Raw genomic sequence first — 17,351 nt, 5'->3', positions numbered from 1 at the left:
GGTTTGGGAGAAGGGAGGTTCTGTTGTTTTTCTTCCCTCTTTTGTAAAGATTTGAGGGTGAGGAAAAACCTAGAATAAAGGCAATAAAAAAGTCCACCAAATGATGCTTATTGGGAAATAGGTTGGGAGATTCCTAATTTATCCCTCTGGTTATTTGCCAAGTCAGAAACCACAATGCAAATAATGACTTCTCTCTCTGTAGGAGGAATTCATTAGTGTTAGACTCAAAGTCCTGCCGTGGCCCTGAAACACTTGCTTTTACTGCCAACCAGAAGAGCCACAGTATTCTGTTTCCATGAATTTGAGAGTTGAACGCATGCCTACTTAACAATGTTATTAGTAAGTGAACCACACTTTTCAGAGTTACTTATCTTTTCTCTTTACTGCTAAGCTGTGTCAAATCCACCTGATCTGCAAGCTGATAGCATTTAGATCTCTTCTTTATTAGAGAGGCTACAGATCTCACTAGTACCATTTCTAGGCCAATGCCTTATTTCTCTCTGCCTGTCTAACCTTTCAACCATGCCCACAGGTCCCAAGGCACATTCCATCATCCTCGGGTGCCACTGCAAGACTGGTGCAGGATAGAAGCCTGTCTTCCTGGGAACCTTATTCAATTCCTTAGTGAGGCTCTCCCTTCAGATCCAACCTCAGTTTACCTCTCCATCCTTATCTGTAGCCACCAAGCTCCTTAAATAAGTGCTGTTCTCTCTTATTTCAGGGCCTTTGCAAAGGTTGGTTCTTTGGAAAGAAATATCCATCTGTCTTAGCTCAGGCTGTCATAACAAAATACCATAGACTGCATGGCTTAAACAACAGAATTTATTTCTCACAGTGCTAGAGGCTGGCAATCTGAGGTTAGAGTGCCAGGATGGTGAGGTTTTGGTGAGGGCTCTCTTCCTGGCTTGCAGGTGAGTACCTTCTTGCTGGGTCCTCGCATGGCAGAGAGAGAGGAGAGAGGAGAGAGGAGAGAGAGAGAGAATATCTTCCTCTTCTTATAAGGGCCTTAATCCCAACATGAGGGACCCTCCTCATGACATCATCTAACCCTAATTACTTTCCAAAGGGCCCCATCTCCAACCACCATCACATTGTGGGGTTGGGCTTCAACATATGAATTTGTGGGGGACACAAACATTCAGTCATCCCACCATTGTTTGGTACTTCACTTAAAGACAACTTCTGCTGGGAGTCTTCCCTGAAATACCCAAGGCTATGGTTTCTTTCTTACAGCATCTCATATTTACCATGGTACTTACCATACTCTATTGCAATTGTCCGCACACCTGTATGTCTTCTCTTACCAGGTTGAACTTCTTAATGGCAGAAACGATGTGTTATTCGCTGATGGATGCCTACTACCCAGCATAACAACATGCACATAGTAAGCATTTACTTAAGTTCCTGTTGCCTGACTGAATTAGTCAAGGTAATGCTATTAGAATTAACAACAACAATAAAAATTAAGACATAGAAGTTATTTTCAGGTGCACATAACAGTCCAGTGCAGTTGTTCGGCAGGCAGTCTTCCATGGAGTGATTTGGGACTCTAGTTCCTTTCATTCTATGGCTCCACCATCCTCTAGGGTCTTGGAGTCCTTCTGTTCCAGTTAGAGAATGGGAAAGAAAGAATGAAGATGACACACCTACTTCCTAATTGCATCTGCCTGGAAGTGGCATGCTTCTGTGCCAGTCACATCCCATTTTAAGAACTGGCCCCAGCTAGAGGCAAGGGATGAGAGGGAAGTGGGGGCAAACTGAGAGATATGATCCCTGATGAGCACCTGCTTCCAAGCAACCCTCCTCAGAATGGAATGAATGAATGAGATCAAAGATACAGCACAGTGGAAAGAACTGAGGAATGTCGGGACCAAGAGAAAAACCATATTAAATCACCCAATACTCTCATTTTATAGAAGACGCAAGTCCAGAGTAGATAAATAGCAAATAACACAACTATTTACTATTTACTTAAAGACCTGGGGTTTGAATTCAGATGACCTTGGTTCTCGCCCTAGTTTGTTGAATGTCAAAGTCACCCCTGCCTCTGTGAGCTTCAGTTCTGTCACCTTTAAAATATGAGGTTTATGCCAGATGCTCTCTAAGATTCAGACTGGGCTGAAAGTGCCGCCATAACCATGATAGTGGAGGTTTGTTCTGGGAATGGAATAGTTCAGGTCCCTGGGACCACACTCAACAACCAAGAAGTGAAATTTCAATCTCTTGCTCAGTTGTTTTATCTGCACATGCTCTGTTGATCAGAAACCATCCTTCAATAAAATGAACCGCACTGTAAAGATGTTTTAGAAAGAGGAGTCAAAACACTGTCCACACACCTTCATCCATCCAGAATTGGCCTGGGTCCACAGGTGAGGTCACCGAGCATGGCATGAATACCTGTGTCACTCCTCAGGCAGAATTTAGACTATCACAGAGTAAGAATGAGAGTGACACTGTCTCTTAGTCGTTTGAGATCTGAGGGTATTCTGATTGTTAATATCAGCCCTATTCTTTCTATTTAAACAGTTCTGTCCACGCATCTCATGCTATTCAGATGTGCCCTAAGTCTCAAATTTTAAAATATTTGGGTAGGAAAGAGAAAAGAGCATTGAATAGTATGCTGACTTCATTAGAAGCCTATTTAGGAGATAAATACATTTGAATGATAGAAGTTTTCAGAAAGAACTCCGAATAGAGGTAAACAACTTGAACTAGTCATTTTTTAGAGGTTAATGAGAAACTTCAAATGTTTTTGGCCTGGAGACTTTCTTGAAACTATAATGACTTTCTAGACTCTCATATAGCTAAATGACTTATGCTTAAATCCTCAAAGTACAAATTAGTAAGAATGTGTTCTAGAAGTCTTATAAGCATTTATTTTCATTTAGACCATTGCATTTTCTCAGGAGAAAATGAAAGGGTTCCCCAGTGTTCTGAAAGCTGCGTGTTCCATGCATATATCTCAATATATAGGATCATAACATCTCTTTCAGACCTCCCAAACCCCATGCCCTTTCACAGTGAAATCCTGTTTTGACTGATGTCCCTTACTTCCCTGTCCTGGCGAAAAGCATCAAGTAACTATTCTCCTTCCACTTCCCCTTCCCTATATTCCTTAATTTGGGTATCTACTTCCCAACGTGGCAAAGGGTAGCACAGAAATGACACTGCTTTGGAAGTCACTGGCAGAGCACTCCCTAGGTTCAAATTGGCAAGACAGGTTCCCCCACCCTCAGCCCTGCTGCTGCCATTTCACACAATTTACCTTCCACACCAAATCTGGAGCACCAGTCTATAAAGAAAAGAGGAAAAGCAAGCTGTCTAAAGAGTCTTCATTCTTCTTCATGGTATAAAGCAACATGTTGCTGTGGCTTTTGACCTCCAGGGGTTGGATTAGATGATTTTCCACATGGTTTATTGTGAAAGGTTTTATTGCACAGATCCCTCAACAATTTAATTGCCATAAAAATAGCTAACATATGTGGCAGGCTTTAAAAATGTCCACCCGCCAAATGGATTTGCTTCTCATGTGGCCACCGGGAGCTGGCAGCTTTTACCTCCACATACCTCGGTGGGTTCTAAGCTAAAGGGTTGGAGTCACCCCGACGGGCTGTAATGAATGCAGGTCTTGGTTTCCATTTTGCTTTTTCTGTACTGTTGATGGTTCAATTTGTTCGCTTGCTTGTTTTTCTTCTTTTGGGGGTGTGTTTTTAAAGACCTATCTCTGAGGGCAATAAAAAGGTGGGAGTCTTAGATTCCATGAGGGTGGAATGAACTGACACAGCTCTGGGCCACTGTCCCAATGGCTTAGTCTGATCCTCATAGTCTCTCAAGTGTTCTCATCTGAGAGCTACCAACATTCATAACCTATCTTTTAAAAGCCAAAGGAGAGAAATCTGTCATCTACTAGAAACACTGCAACCATTTCCTTGACAGGAAGCCACTGTCTTTACGTTGCATTAGCTAGTAAAAACAATACTAAAAAAAATCATACATGGATGCACTTCTCTTCACATTGCAGTTGCTACTTCTTCAAAGGAGGCTGCCTACTGAGTAATCCTTCCAGGTCTAGCTAATTAATGTTTCCTCCATAGACCAAATAACTATGTGTGAGCTCTCTGTTGACCTCTCTTCTGTCACTTTTGACTCTTTTGTCAGAGTCTCCCCTTGCTATTCCTGGGGGGCCCAAAAGGCAGCCTCACAGTGTTCCACAAACTAGCCTGTGAACAGCAATCCCCGCTCCTTCTTCCGTAGTGGTTCCCCTTCCAGTTGCATACAACTCATCTGGAAGAGGATATTGCCCGATAGAAGAATGCCAGTAGGCCGGGTGCAGTGGCTCACGCCTGTAATCCCAGCACTTTGGGAGGCTGAGGCAGGCGGATCACTGGAGGTCAGGAGTTTGACACCAGCCTGACCAACATGATGAAACTCCGTCTCTACTAAAAATACAAAAATTAGCCAGGTGTGGTGGCACTCGCCTGTAATCCCAGCTACTTGGGCGGCTGAGGCAGGAGAATCACTTGAACCTGGGAGGTGGAGGTTGCAGTGAGCCAAGATCGTGCCATTGCACTCCAACCTGGGTGACAAAAGCAAAACTCCGTCTCAAAAATAAATAAATAAATAAAAGAATGCCAGTATCTGTTCCTGAGTGCCAACCAGGTCTCTCCTGTTCCAGCTACCAGAAGGAAGTCAGGAAAGGTGGGAAGAGGCCTCCTCCTGCCCGCCCCCCCACCTCCCCACAGACCCTTGTCTGTTTACCTGACTGAGGCATCTCCACCCAGGCCCAACGAAGTTTCTCTTGAGCAGTTCCACCAGCTTCTGATCTTCACCCCTCTTTCCACAGTGGCTTGAAATTAATTCAAGGACCAGGGAGGGTCGCTCCACTCTTCATCCTCCTGGTTAAACTGGCGTTTTTGATCCCCATGTTTCTCTCCCCTTTGGTAACAGTAGCAGGGAGGTAAACATTGTTTTAGGAGCTAGTAGCAGAATTTACCTGGTGGAGACTTGTTTACCAAAACATTTTGATAAGCCACTTTGGCTATAGTAAGATGATCCTTAGGGCCTGGGCTGGATGAGATAAGAAGGTTTATAAAGCGAGAAGAATTTTTGAGTTTCTAAGAGCAGTGCTGGAGGAAGAGGGGGCCCGGGGATGGAGGCAAACTAGGAGAGATGAGAAGAGGTGATGAGAAGAGATGGACCAGCAAGAGAGGGGGCAGTCTGTGACAGAAGGAGAAGAGAAAGTGAGTGAGAAATTTCCAGTGCAGGATAAGACATGTGGACTTTCTAAGAACAGAAATATCTAATCTTTTCAGTATAAAGTTGCTTATTCTGCCATGGATACCAGTCTTATATTAAAAGAAGTTGAGTTAAATATATTTAATAAAATCATCAAATCCATTTAAAGAAAATGCCAAGGTATAGGTTTAAAAGTAATGGGCTGGGCGCGGTGGCTCACACCTGTAATTCCATTACTTTGGGAGGCCAACGTGGGTGGATCATGAGGTCAGGAGATCAAGACCATCCTGGCTAACATGGTGAAACCCTGTCTCTACTAAAAATACAAAAATTAGTTGTGTGTGGTGGTGCAGGCCTGTAATCCCAGTTACTCAGGAGGCTGAGGCAGGAGAATCGCTTGAACCGGTGAGTCAGAGGTTGCAGTGAGCTGAGACCATGCCACTGCACTCCAGCCTGGCAACAGGGCGAGACTCTGTCTCAAAAAAAAACAAACAAAAACAAAACAAGTAATGAAGATCATTATTAACCAATGCATATAATTATTAATTAGTTTAATACATCAAAATGTGTTACATATATAGACACCTAAATATACTGAAGTTTGGTTTACATGTAGCTACATATTGTAACTGGGATAAGAGATGTGGGTTTTTATGGCTGTTCTTTAATGTGACTATGCTTAAATACACTCCCTTCCTTAGTGTTATTCCTACTTAGCGTCTGGTGGCAATGGTGTTGGGGAGAAAGTAAGGAAAAGGGGCAACTTTCATATTTGTATAGTTATAATGACTAAAGAGGGGATATGCCATGAAAAGTGAGATTCATGAGAAATCAAGAGTTCAGTAGAAGTGAGAAATCCGAGTATGAAATATTGGGGTGGGGTAGGGTTTCCAGATAAAATCCAGCATGCCCAATTAAATTTGGACTTCGGATAAACAACAAATGATTTTTTAATATACTTATATACTTATTCTACTGATGTATACAAATAAGTATACAAAATATACATATTCTACTTATACTGATGTCCTGTAGTTTTATTTGCAAAATCTGGCAACCCTATGGTGGAGGAATGCTGGAATATATTAGCAATAAAAAATCTTAATTTAAATATCATAGGAGAGCATGACTTGGGTACAGAAAATATCTGGTTTAAATAATATTGCAAATTTTCAGAGGTACTGTAATTAGAATCAGGCTCAAAGCCTTTTACAAACTTACATGAGTGACGTGGTTTTTTACACTATGAAACATGTAATGTGAACATCCTCCTCCAACATCAGAAATAGCTTTGAGACCTTCAAGAAGGTCCTAACACTCTTGTCTTACTGATTGTCTAAAAAACTAGCTATTCTATCTTGCTATTCTATCTAAAGGGAATTGTAGACATTTAGATTTATAGAGAAACTGATTACTAGATGGACAAATGAATAGCTCCCTTCCTCCCAGCCCCTACCCATGGAGTCAACAGAGTGAAGGGCAGCCTGGGGACTACCACCTAAGAAAGAATAAAATTCTCCACTAGGCCGGCCTAGTCATCATATAATGAAGTCGGGGCCCTTTCCCCACTTTCCTACTAGCTGGCTTTTTCAAGCAATCACAACCATGCTTTTAAAATGTCCAAATTTTATTTTTTAAAAGATCTAAGCTGTTCACAGAGGCAAAATGAAACAATAGGAAATACTTGTCAATTGAAAAAAAAGTTATTACAAACATGCTTAATAAAATACAATGTAAAGGTACTTAATAAAGTTACAGCTTAAAGTGAATGTAGAAAACCTGTTTCATTTTTATTAAAGCTGGATTTATAGCTTTGGTTTATTGGTTTATGTTCTCAGAACTTAATTTAGTCTCTAGATGATTTGCCCAAAAGAAAGCAGGTGGGTGGAGCTGTGTGTTGGACTACACTAGTCTAAGGGGTTGTGATATAGGTATTAACACGCCTTGGTCTGCACCAGCTCCCCACAAACAAAAACCTAAAAAAAAGGGATGGGCACAGTGGCTCAGGCCTGTAATCTCAGGACTTTGGGAGGCCAAGGCAGGCGGATCACCTGAGGTCAGGAGTTTGAGACCAGCCAGCCCAACATGGTGAAATCCCACCTCTACTAAAAATATAAAAAATTAGCCAAGTGTGGTGGCGGACACCTGTAATCCCAGCTACTCAGCAGGCTGAGGCAGGAGAATCACTTGAACCCAGGAGGCAGAGATTGCAGTGACCTGAGATCGCGCCACTGCACTTCAAGCTAGGCAACAAGAGTGAAACTCTGTCTACCAAAAAAAAAAAAAAAAAAAATTTTTTTACAACTTCATCAGGATGAACTTCCTACAAATTCCACCCAGCCTTTAAGGCTCAAGTGATAATGCTATCTTCTCTACAGTGTCCCTTGGTTCTCTTTGCTGACAGTTCTCAATGGGAGCTGCACTACTCTTAGGGGGCATTTTGAATATTTGTGGAGATGTTTTTCTGCTGCTGTCATGACCTAGCGTTATATACATTAAACTACACACTATTTTACTGTAAATCATTTTCCTTTTATTATTCATATTATAGTAGGGGCATTATGTTGATTTTTAAAATTAGCCATGTAAGGAAAAGTAAGAACCAAGAATTGGCACAACAATTTACCTCTGAAAAAGGAAAGTACAGAGATGGTATCCACCCCACCAGATATTAGGATTTATGATGGGCCTATGGAGATTAAGACAATGTGGCATTGGTCCAGAATTTGATAAAATTTATCAGTGGAATAGAAGAGAGAGCCTAGAAACAGACCTATGCTTATAGGGAACTTTGTATTTGACAGAGGTGGTATGTTAAATTGAGGTAGACTAAAAGACTGTTCAATAAATGGAGCTGAGAAAAAAAAGGTTATTTGGAAAAAAAATTAAAATGAATCTCAACCTCACATCATATAGAAAACTCAAGTCCAGATGGGTTAAAAATTTAAATGCAGAAACAAAACTGTAAAAAAAGAATACAATTTAGATTAAAAGGTTTTTAAAACAATACATAAAAATTATTTACTATAAAAGATTAATAAAATTAACTACTTTACCCTAAATATAAGTGAAAAGTTACAAACCAGATGTTTGCAATTCACATAACTGATAAAGAACTAGTATAATGACTACATAAAGAACTCTTACAAATCAATAAGAAAAGCACTAACAATCCAACAGAAAAATGAGCAAAAGACAACAAGATCTTTACAAAAGAGAGTCTATATGGCCAATAAACAAAAATTATGACAATAGCAGGTGTTAAAGAGGATGTATATTTACAGAATATTTTATACACTGTGAGTGGGAAGGTAAATTAGGGCAACAATTGTGGAAAACAGTTTGGCTTTATGTGATAACATTAAACATTCAAATAGTCTACTGACACAATTCCACTTCTGGGTATATATATAAGAAAAACTCTTGGATGTGTACACAAAGAGGCATATATAAAAATGTCCATAGTTGTACTTTTCAAAACAGCAAAAACTCAGAAACAATCAAAATGCCCATCAACAGGAGAGTGGGCAAGTAAACCATGCCAAATTCACACAATGGTATGTAATACGGTTGTTGAAACCAGTGAATCTCCACAATGACATATGCGATAATATGGATGAATAACATTAAAAGGGTATATGCCATGTGGACCCTTTTCATAAAGCTAAAACAACTAAAATAAAAATATGTCCAAGAAATCCACATAGATACAATGAAACGATATAAAAAGGGAAGCAAGACAATGAAAACAATAGATTTAGGGTGATGGTTACCTAGGATAAAAGAGATGGAGGATGGTTTGGGAGGTATCTTGAGAGTCAAATGTAGGTCATAGTAAAGGTCTTGTCTTTTATGCTGGGTGGTGGCTTCGCTGCTGATTATTACATTATTAAAACTAAACAAAGAGAAGACTAGGAGAGAGCTATGCATGGATCAATAATGAAAGTGTGTCAATGACTAAAGATTATGATTAATCAGTTCATGCACCTGAGATTTAAAAAAGAAAAAGAAGAAATTATATGTGTAAATATTATATATTACATATGAATTTCAATTCAAAATAGTAAAGAGGGCCTTAGAAAATATTTGTTTTAAAAGGAGGGGCAAGGTATCTGATACGGTTGCAAACTGCTGCTCCAGCCAAACCAGGGTTTGTTTTTACTATAACACTGAACCTCTGTGTCATGTTGTATCACTTTTAAGGCACTGTCCACATTGCCTGGATTACAATTTTTTTTAATGTAGCTGTAGTATCTCCTCTGGGCTGTAATTTTCTTGAAAGTTCTGGATCCTTCATGATGCCTTGAGTGGAGAAATTACTTACTAATTTGTTTAATGAACAAAATAAACTATTTAACTTGAAACTTTGATTTCTTAGAGAGAAGCAGGTTTAATAAACACACTACTTTCTGCCAGATATTTGCCCTTCCACATTCTAGAGTTTATCAGACATTTTTTTTTTTTTTTTTTTTTGAGACAGAGTCTCGTTCTGTCGCCCCGGCTGGAGTGCAGTGGCACGATCTCGGCTCACTGCAACCTCTGCCTCCTGGGTTCAAGCAATTCTCCTGCCTCAGCCTCCCGAGTAGCTGGGACTACAGGCATGTGCCACTACACCCAGCTAATTTTTATATTTTTAGTAGAGACGGTGTTTCACTGTGTTGGTTGGCCAAGATGGTCTAGATCTCTTGACCTCGTGATCTGCCCACCTCGGCCTCCCAAAGTGCTGGGATTACAGGCATGAGGCACCACGCCTGGTCTTATCAGACATTCTTAGGAATGTAATATCAAGTGGAAGGAGAACATCTACTCCTGGATGGCAGATGTTTAACTTAATAATTTTGGCCCACAGTCGTTTAAGCCTAAAATAGTCTGATAAGAATCCCAAGGAACCACAATAGCTCCCTTTATGTAAAACTAATAGTTCAAATGTATTACATATCTGCTCTAGGCCAGATGCTTTGTATTATCTTGAACTCTTGTAATAAATTTACACAGACGTTTTTTGTTCCTGTTTTACCAATAAGAAAACTGTGTTTCAATGAGGTTAAGAACTTTTTCATGGCTACACTGTTGTTGATGGCAGAACAGGGATCTCACTTCAGATGATTTTATATTGAAATGGCATCTTGAAACACACTCTGCTACCTGAGGACATTTTCATGTCTTGATCAATTTTTTGTTTATTTCTTTGTTTTTTTGTTTGTATAGGTTCTTTACAGATGGAATGGAAGGTCTTCATGGTTTCATTTGCTGAGGCCAGAGAAAGACAAAACTGTATTAGTTTGTTCCCATGCTGCTATGAAGAAATACCTGAGACTGGGTAATTTATAAAGGAAAGAGGTTTAATTGACTCAAAGCACTGCATGGCTGGGGAGGCCTCAGGATTTTTTTTTTTTTTTTTTTTTTTTTTGACACAGAGTCTGGCTTTGTCCCCCAGGCTGGAGTGCAGTGGCACCATCTCAGCTCACTGCAAGCTCCGCCTGCCGGAATCATGCCATTCTCCTGCCTCAGCCTCCCGAGTAGCTGGGACTACAGGTGCCCGCCACCACGCCTGGCTAATTTTTTTGTATTTTTAGTGGAGACGGGGTTTCACCATGTTGGCCAGGATGGTCTCAAACTCCTGACCTTGTGATCCACCCGCCTTGGCCTCCCAAAGTGCTAGGATTACAGGCTTGAGCCACCGCGCCCAGCCCAGGATTCTTATAAGTATGGTGGAAGACACTTCTCCATAGGGCAGAGGAGGGAGAATGAATGCAGCAGAGGAAATGCGGACACTTATAAAACCATCAGAGCTAGTGAGAACTCACTATCTTGAGAACAGCATGGGGGAAATTGCCCCCATGATTCAATTACCTCCCACCAGGTCCCTCCCATGACACGTGGGGATTATCAAGGTTAGAATTCGAGATGAGATTTGGGTGGGGACACAGCCAAACTGTATCACCATCTCTAAAAAGTCCTCCAATGGCATAGAGATCCAGAGGTAAGAAAAGTACTTGATGTGCTTATAAAGCAAAATAACATTATTAAATTCTTCACTAGAAGAAAGTCACAGCCGGGCATGGTGGCTCACATCTATAATCCCAGCATTCCGGGAGGCCAAGGCAGGCAGATCACTTGAGGTCAGGAGTTTGAGACCAATTTGGTCAATATGGTGAAACCCCATCTCTACTAAACATACAAAAATTAGTCGGGCGTGGTGGCGCATGCCTGTAATCCCAGCTACTAGGGAGGCTGAGGCACGAGAATTGCTCGAACCCAGGAGGTGGAGGTTGCAGTGAGTTGAGATCGCACCACTATGCTCCAGCCTGGGCGATACAGTGAGACTCCATCTAAAAAAAAAAAAAAAAAGAAAGTCACTAAATCAATTTAAGTTCTCTATATCACCCTCAACTTCTAATACCATTTATAGAAACCATTTCTTCCAAAATCATTTGAAGTCTCAGTCCTAAGACATTCCTATACACTCAGGCTGCAAGAGTCACTGGGGTGAGAGCAACAGCACTCCACACCTGAGACAGAAACACTAGCACAGAAAGACAAACCACTGGGAGGTCTATTTTGTACAACGATCCCATGATTTCCTGGGAGAAATGGTAAAGTGCATTTAAAGGCTTAATGAGGTCCCCAAAGTAAAATCCTGAACAAAGAAGGGAGATAAAGTACCTTGTAATCTTTGGAAGCATTCCTGGAAGAGATGAAGGGAAACCATTTATTCTGCAAGAAGGCTTACTGCCGTATCCAAGAGAGAGATGGTGGTGGCAGAAACCAGAGCAGTGGTGGTAGAGACTGGACAGAAGTATACAGAGTTCAGTTAGTTCACAGGCAGAATTGTTAGAACTTGAGCCATTGAATGTGGGGAGTAAGACAGCAGGTGGCTTAAAGGCCAGGCTTGTTTTCTAGGTTGGTCTCTTAGTCCACCAGCACAGACCCAGTGATATGGTTTGAATGTTTGTCCCCTCCAAATCTCATGTGAAAATATAATCCCCAGTGTTGGAGGTGAGCTTGGTGAGAGGCGTTTGGATCATGGGGTGGATCCCTCATGAATGGCTTAGTGCCATCCCCTTGCTGATGAGTGAGTTCCCACTCTGAGTTCCTGCAAGATCTGGTTGTTTAAAAGCATGTGGCATTTCTTCCCTCTCTCCCTTGCTACCACTTTAGCCATGAGAGCAAGAATGGTCTAACACACCCAGGAAACGTGTTCCATAACTCTCCACAGAAAAAGCCTCAAAAAACAAGTGCAGTAGTTAGGTTGCTGCTCAAATACCATGGCAATTGTCATCCAGTTCTTAATTATTCATAAGGCTGGTGTGGTCTAAGGAAAGCTAATTGTATACACTGCATTAATCTTAGCAAGAAAATTTAAAGCATAAAGCAATAGGACAATTTTGCATATTGCCGCTGCTCAGGACTTAAAGATAAATCTGACCAGGCCTATAAAATCTTACGCAACAGTCAAATGAAAACCTGTGTCATTTCAGACAACTGGATGGCTGGCCATCAAAGGTTGTCTGATGCCATGGAACAAATAGTTTGAAGGCTTTGCAAGCCAGAACATGTGTTCCTACAGGCTGATGACATTTTTCTTTTGGAAATCTTATATTTTGACCATTGGCCTCAAAGATCCTTCCCATCCAATTTATTACTTTCATGGCTTTATTGCAGAAATAAAAACAGGCATTAACAGGATATCTCTGACCATGAAAGGTTCCAGTCTGGAGGAAAGACATGATACTTCAATGTCGCTTACCTCTTAGAAGTGAAAGCAGTAAAACATGCTAAAATAATCTGTGTAACATCCCCATTAGTGTATCCCACAGCACACTCCAACTCTGAGGAACAAATTTTTCAACGGTAGTACCGAAAACTGTGTCTTCTCTGCTAATTCCTTTGTATAAATCATGTGATTGTGTTCTGCCTAATAAATTAATTTGGATAATAACACCCGTCTTAGTCTATTTTGTGTTGCTATAGCATAATACATCAGACTGGATAATTTATAAGAAAGGTTTATTTAGCTCATGGTTCTGCAGGCTGGGAAGTACAAGAAGCACGGTGCCAGCATCAGCTTGGCTTCTGGTGAGGGCTTTTGTGCTGCATCATAACATGGCAGAAGGTCAAAGGGGAAGCAGACATGTGCAAAGGGGCAAAACCCAAGAGCATCTTGCTTTATAACAACCCACTCTCATGGGAACTAATCCATTTCCATGAGAATAATCCAGTCTCATGAGAGCAAGAGCTCACTACTGCGAGAACAGCACCAAGTCATTCATAATGGATCCATTCCCTTGACCCAAACAGCTCCCCTAGGCTCCATTTCCCTATACTGCGGCACTGAAAATAACATTTCAACATGAGTTTTGATGGTGATGAACATATGCAAATATAGCATTCTGCCCCTAGCCTCAAAAAAATCATGTGCTTCTCATATACAAAATACAATCATTCCATTCCAGTAGTCCCAAAAGTCTTAACTTGCTCCAGCAACAAAAGTCCAAAGTCTCATCTAAGACTCATAGCAAGTTCCTTCCAGCTGTAAGCCTGTAAAATTAAAAATAAGTTATTTATTTTCAAGATGCACTGGTGGGACAGACATTTGGTAAACATCCCCACTTGAAAAGGCAGATATAGGCCAAAAGAAAGGAATGACAGACCCCATGCCAGTCTGAAACCCAGCAGGGCAGACATTAAATTTTAAGGCTCCTGCATAATCTTTCACACCATGTGCCATCTCCTGGGCACACTGATGTGAGGGGTGGGTTCCCAGAGCCTTGGGCAGCCCTGTCCCACTTGCTTCACTGGGTGTAGCACACATGGCTGTTCTCACAGTTGAAGTCAAATGCCCATAGCTTTTCCAGGCAGACATTGCACATTGTCAATGGCTCTACAATCTTGGGGTCCCAAAGGTAGCCCTATTCCCTCGATTCCTACTTCCCTGGTAGGGACTCTTTATGGCTGCTTTGGTCATACATTTCTGCTCAGCATTGCTTTAGTAGAGGCTCTCTACAGTGGCTCTGCCCCTTTGACAAGTCTCCCCGGGCTCCAGGCTTTCTGATACATCTTCTGAAATCTAGGTGGGAGCTGCCATGCCTCCATCACTCTTGTATTCTGCATGCCTACAAAATTAGCACCATTTGGATGTGGATGATGCCAAAGCTTACAGCTTGGGATCTCTGGAGTGGCAGCACAAGTAACACCTGGAGCTGCTTAAGTCACCAGGATGCAAGAGCAGCAGCGTGAAGTGGTTGTGGGCAGCAATTTCACAGAAAACACCCAGGCTTGTCCCTCAAAACCATTCTGCCCTCTTAGGCCTCTGGGCCTTTTTCCCAATATCCTGATGCACAGTACTTGACTCCCTTATATGCATACTAATCTTTTTAGCAAGTAGTCTCTTGACTGTACCCTTGAATTATTCTCCTGAAAACACTCTTTCATTTCACATGGTTGGGTTGCACATTTTTCAAGTGTTTACATTCTGCTTCCCTTTTAATTATAAATTTTGCATTTAGATTATTACTTTGCGGTGCCATAACTGAGCATAAGCTATTAAAAGTAACCACATCACTTCTTGAGTGCTTTGCTGCTTAGAAATTTCTTGCACCAGATACACTAGTTCATCACTCTTAAGTGCTACCTTCCAAAAATCCCTAGGGAGTAGACATACTGCAGCCAATTTCTTTGCAACTGTGTAACAAGGATGGGCTTTACTTCAATTTTCGATAAGGTATTCTTCATTTCCATCTGAGACCTCATCAGCACGGCTTTTACTATCCATATTTCTATCAGCATTTTGGTCACATTACTTAAACAATCTCAAAAAAGTTCCAAACTTTCCCTCATCTTTTTGTCTTTTTCTAAGCCCTCACCAGAACTGCCCTTAATGCTCTGTTCACTGCAATACAGTCTCTTTCTAGCCTGCTCCTCCTCCAAATTCTTTCAACCATTGCCCATTACACAATTCCAAAGCAGATTTCACATTTTCAGGTATCCACAGAGCAAATCCCACTCTTCGGTACCAATTTTCTGTGTTGGTCCATTTTGTGTTACTGTAATTGAATAAATACCCAAGGCTGGGTAATTTATAAAGAAAAGAGGTTCATTTAGTTGATTGTTCTGCAGGCTGAGAAGTACAAGAAGCATGGTGCCAGCATCTGCTCAGCTTCCAGTGGGGTTGTTTGTGCTGCATCATAACATGGTGGAAGGTCAAAGAGGAAGTGGACATGTGCAAAGGGGCAAAACCCAAGGGCAACTTGCCTTATAACAACCCACTATTATGGGAACTAATCCATTTCCACGAGAACTAATCCAGTCTCATGAGAGCAATAACTCTCACTACTATGGGAACAGCACCAAGCCATTCATGAGGGATCCAGCCCCATGACCCAAACATCTCCCAACACCACCATGCTGGTAATCAAATTGTGAGATTTGGTGGCAACAAACCACATCCAAACCATAGCAATACCATAAACCCAGAAATAAAAACTGTTTGATCAAAAGCAAGGCATATTTAAGAAGAAAATACATTACTATTTAAAATATTAATAAAGCTGGAACTACCAGAGAAAAAAGTTAATTCCATAACTGGACAGCCTAAAGAAAATGCCCTGGAATGAATGGGAGACAGAAATAACAAGTAGAAAGTGGTTTTGCAGAAAGTCTTCCTTTATTAAGGAAGATGGCTGACCACAGCTGTGGTTGAAATACTCATAAATAAACAATGTTTACCAACAAGAAGTAGTTATTATCATGAAACAATCACTTCCAAGTAGTTTTAAAAGAGACTGCCAAATAGAATATACATGCAATTTGATCATCTCATATTTTGGCAGGCAGAAACACAAAAGTGTTAGGAACCAAACATCATGCTTTTTGCTCCTACACATTTTGCCTAAATGGAATTCTTCCACATGGTGAACATGCCTCTGCTTATTCAGCAAAATCCACTGCGAGTCCTAAACCATTTCCTGAAAGCTAAATTCCCTTCGCTAAGGCACTAAATCATTTTATTGTAAACACCAAATGCTTTCTTACTGCTGGGAGTGGTATTATAGACTTACTTTTTGATATATGTTCCAGCTTTTCAAGATTTTGTTGTAAACAAAAAAGATACTTTATGATATTCCACCCTGTTTATTGCTTTCCAGAGTTTCTATCATTAATTAAAGGGTCTCCTTCCCCTCCTCTACCACCCAAAAAGCTGATCTACTCTCCATATGCCTATATGAGACCAAATAAAGGTCGGTCTATCACAGCAGCAGTGATGGTCATGCCAATTTCACAGTGTGATCTTTGCATTCATTTCATTTTGAAAATGACCCTGCCCTCCATCTGTCTAAGCCGAATGTCCTGCTTTTTTCAAGCCAGGCCTAAGGAGCAGCATCACGTGAAATAAGGAGGAAGAGACACAGAATGGCCTCCCTCCTGCCCACTCCAGCTGCCACGCTCACAGGTACCAACAAAAAGAGGAGAACCCCAACTGATTCCTGTAGGGATCCCAGAAATTTGGAGAAGAAAATAGTCCTTTTACTTTTCATACATTTTCAAGAAGCCATTTGAAGGTGAATGCTTTCATGATGCAAATACAACTCTGCAAAATAGAGATAAAGCTGAAAGATAGGAAAGACAATTTCTCATTTCCATGTTCTGTCTTCTTACCTTAATTTATTATTACCCAAGGTAACAGCTCAATATATAAGAATTTTATTTTATTTTTTTTTAGAGTCAGAGTCTCATTCTGTTATACAGGCTGGAGTGCAGTGGTAGGATCACAGCTCACCACAACCTCAAACTTTTGGGCTCAAGCAATTCTCCTGCTTCAGCACCCCGAGTAGCAGGGACTATAGGTACGTACCACCACGCTTGGCCTTTTTTTTTTTTTTCGGTAGAGATGGGGTCTTCCTATGTTACTCAGGCTGGTCTTGAACCCCTGGCCTCAAGCAATCCTTCCACCTTGGCCTCCCAAAGCTCTGGGATTACAGGCATGAGCCAGAATTTTTAAATTAAGCCTTTTGCATATTGTTTCCAAGGGACAAGTGTCAATCAGGCAGGCAGTAAGCAGAACACCCCCTACTCCTTGAATATTGAGCAGCACTAGCCAGCATCTTTCAATCTAC

The sequence above is a fragment of the Homo sapiens genome, chromosome 2 (genome assembly GCF_000001405.40).
Source record: "Homo sapiens chromosome 2, GRCh38.p14 Primary Assembly".
Classification (NCBI taxonomy): Eukaryota; Metazoa; Chordata; class Mammalia; order Primates; family Hominidae; genus Homo; species Homo sapiens.
This window is presented reverse-complemented; position numbering follows the sequence as displayed.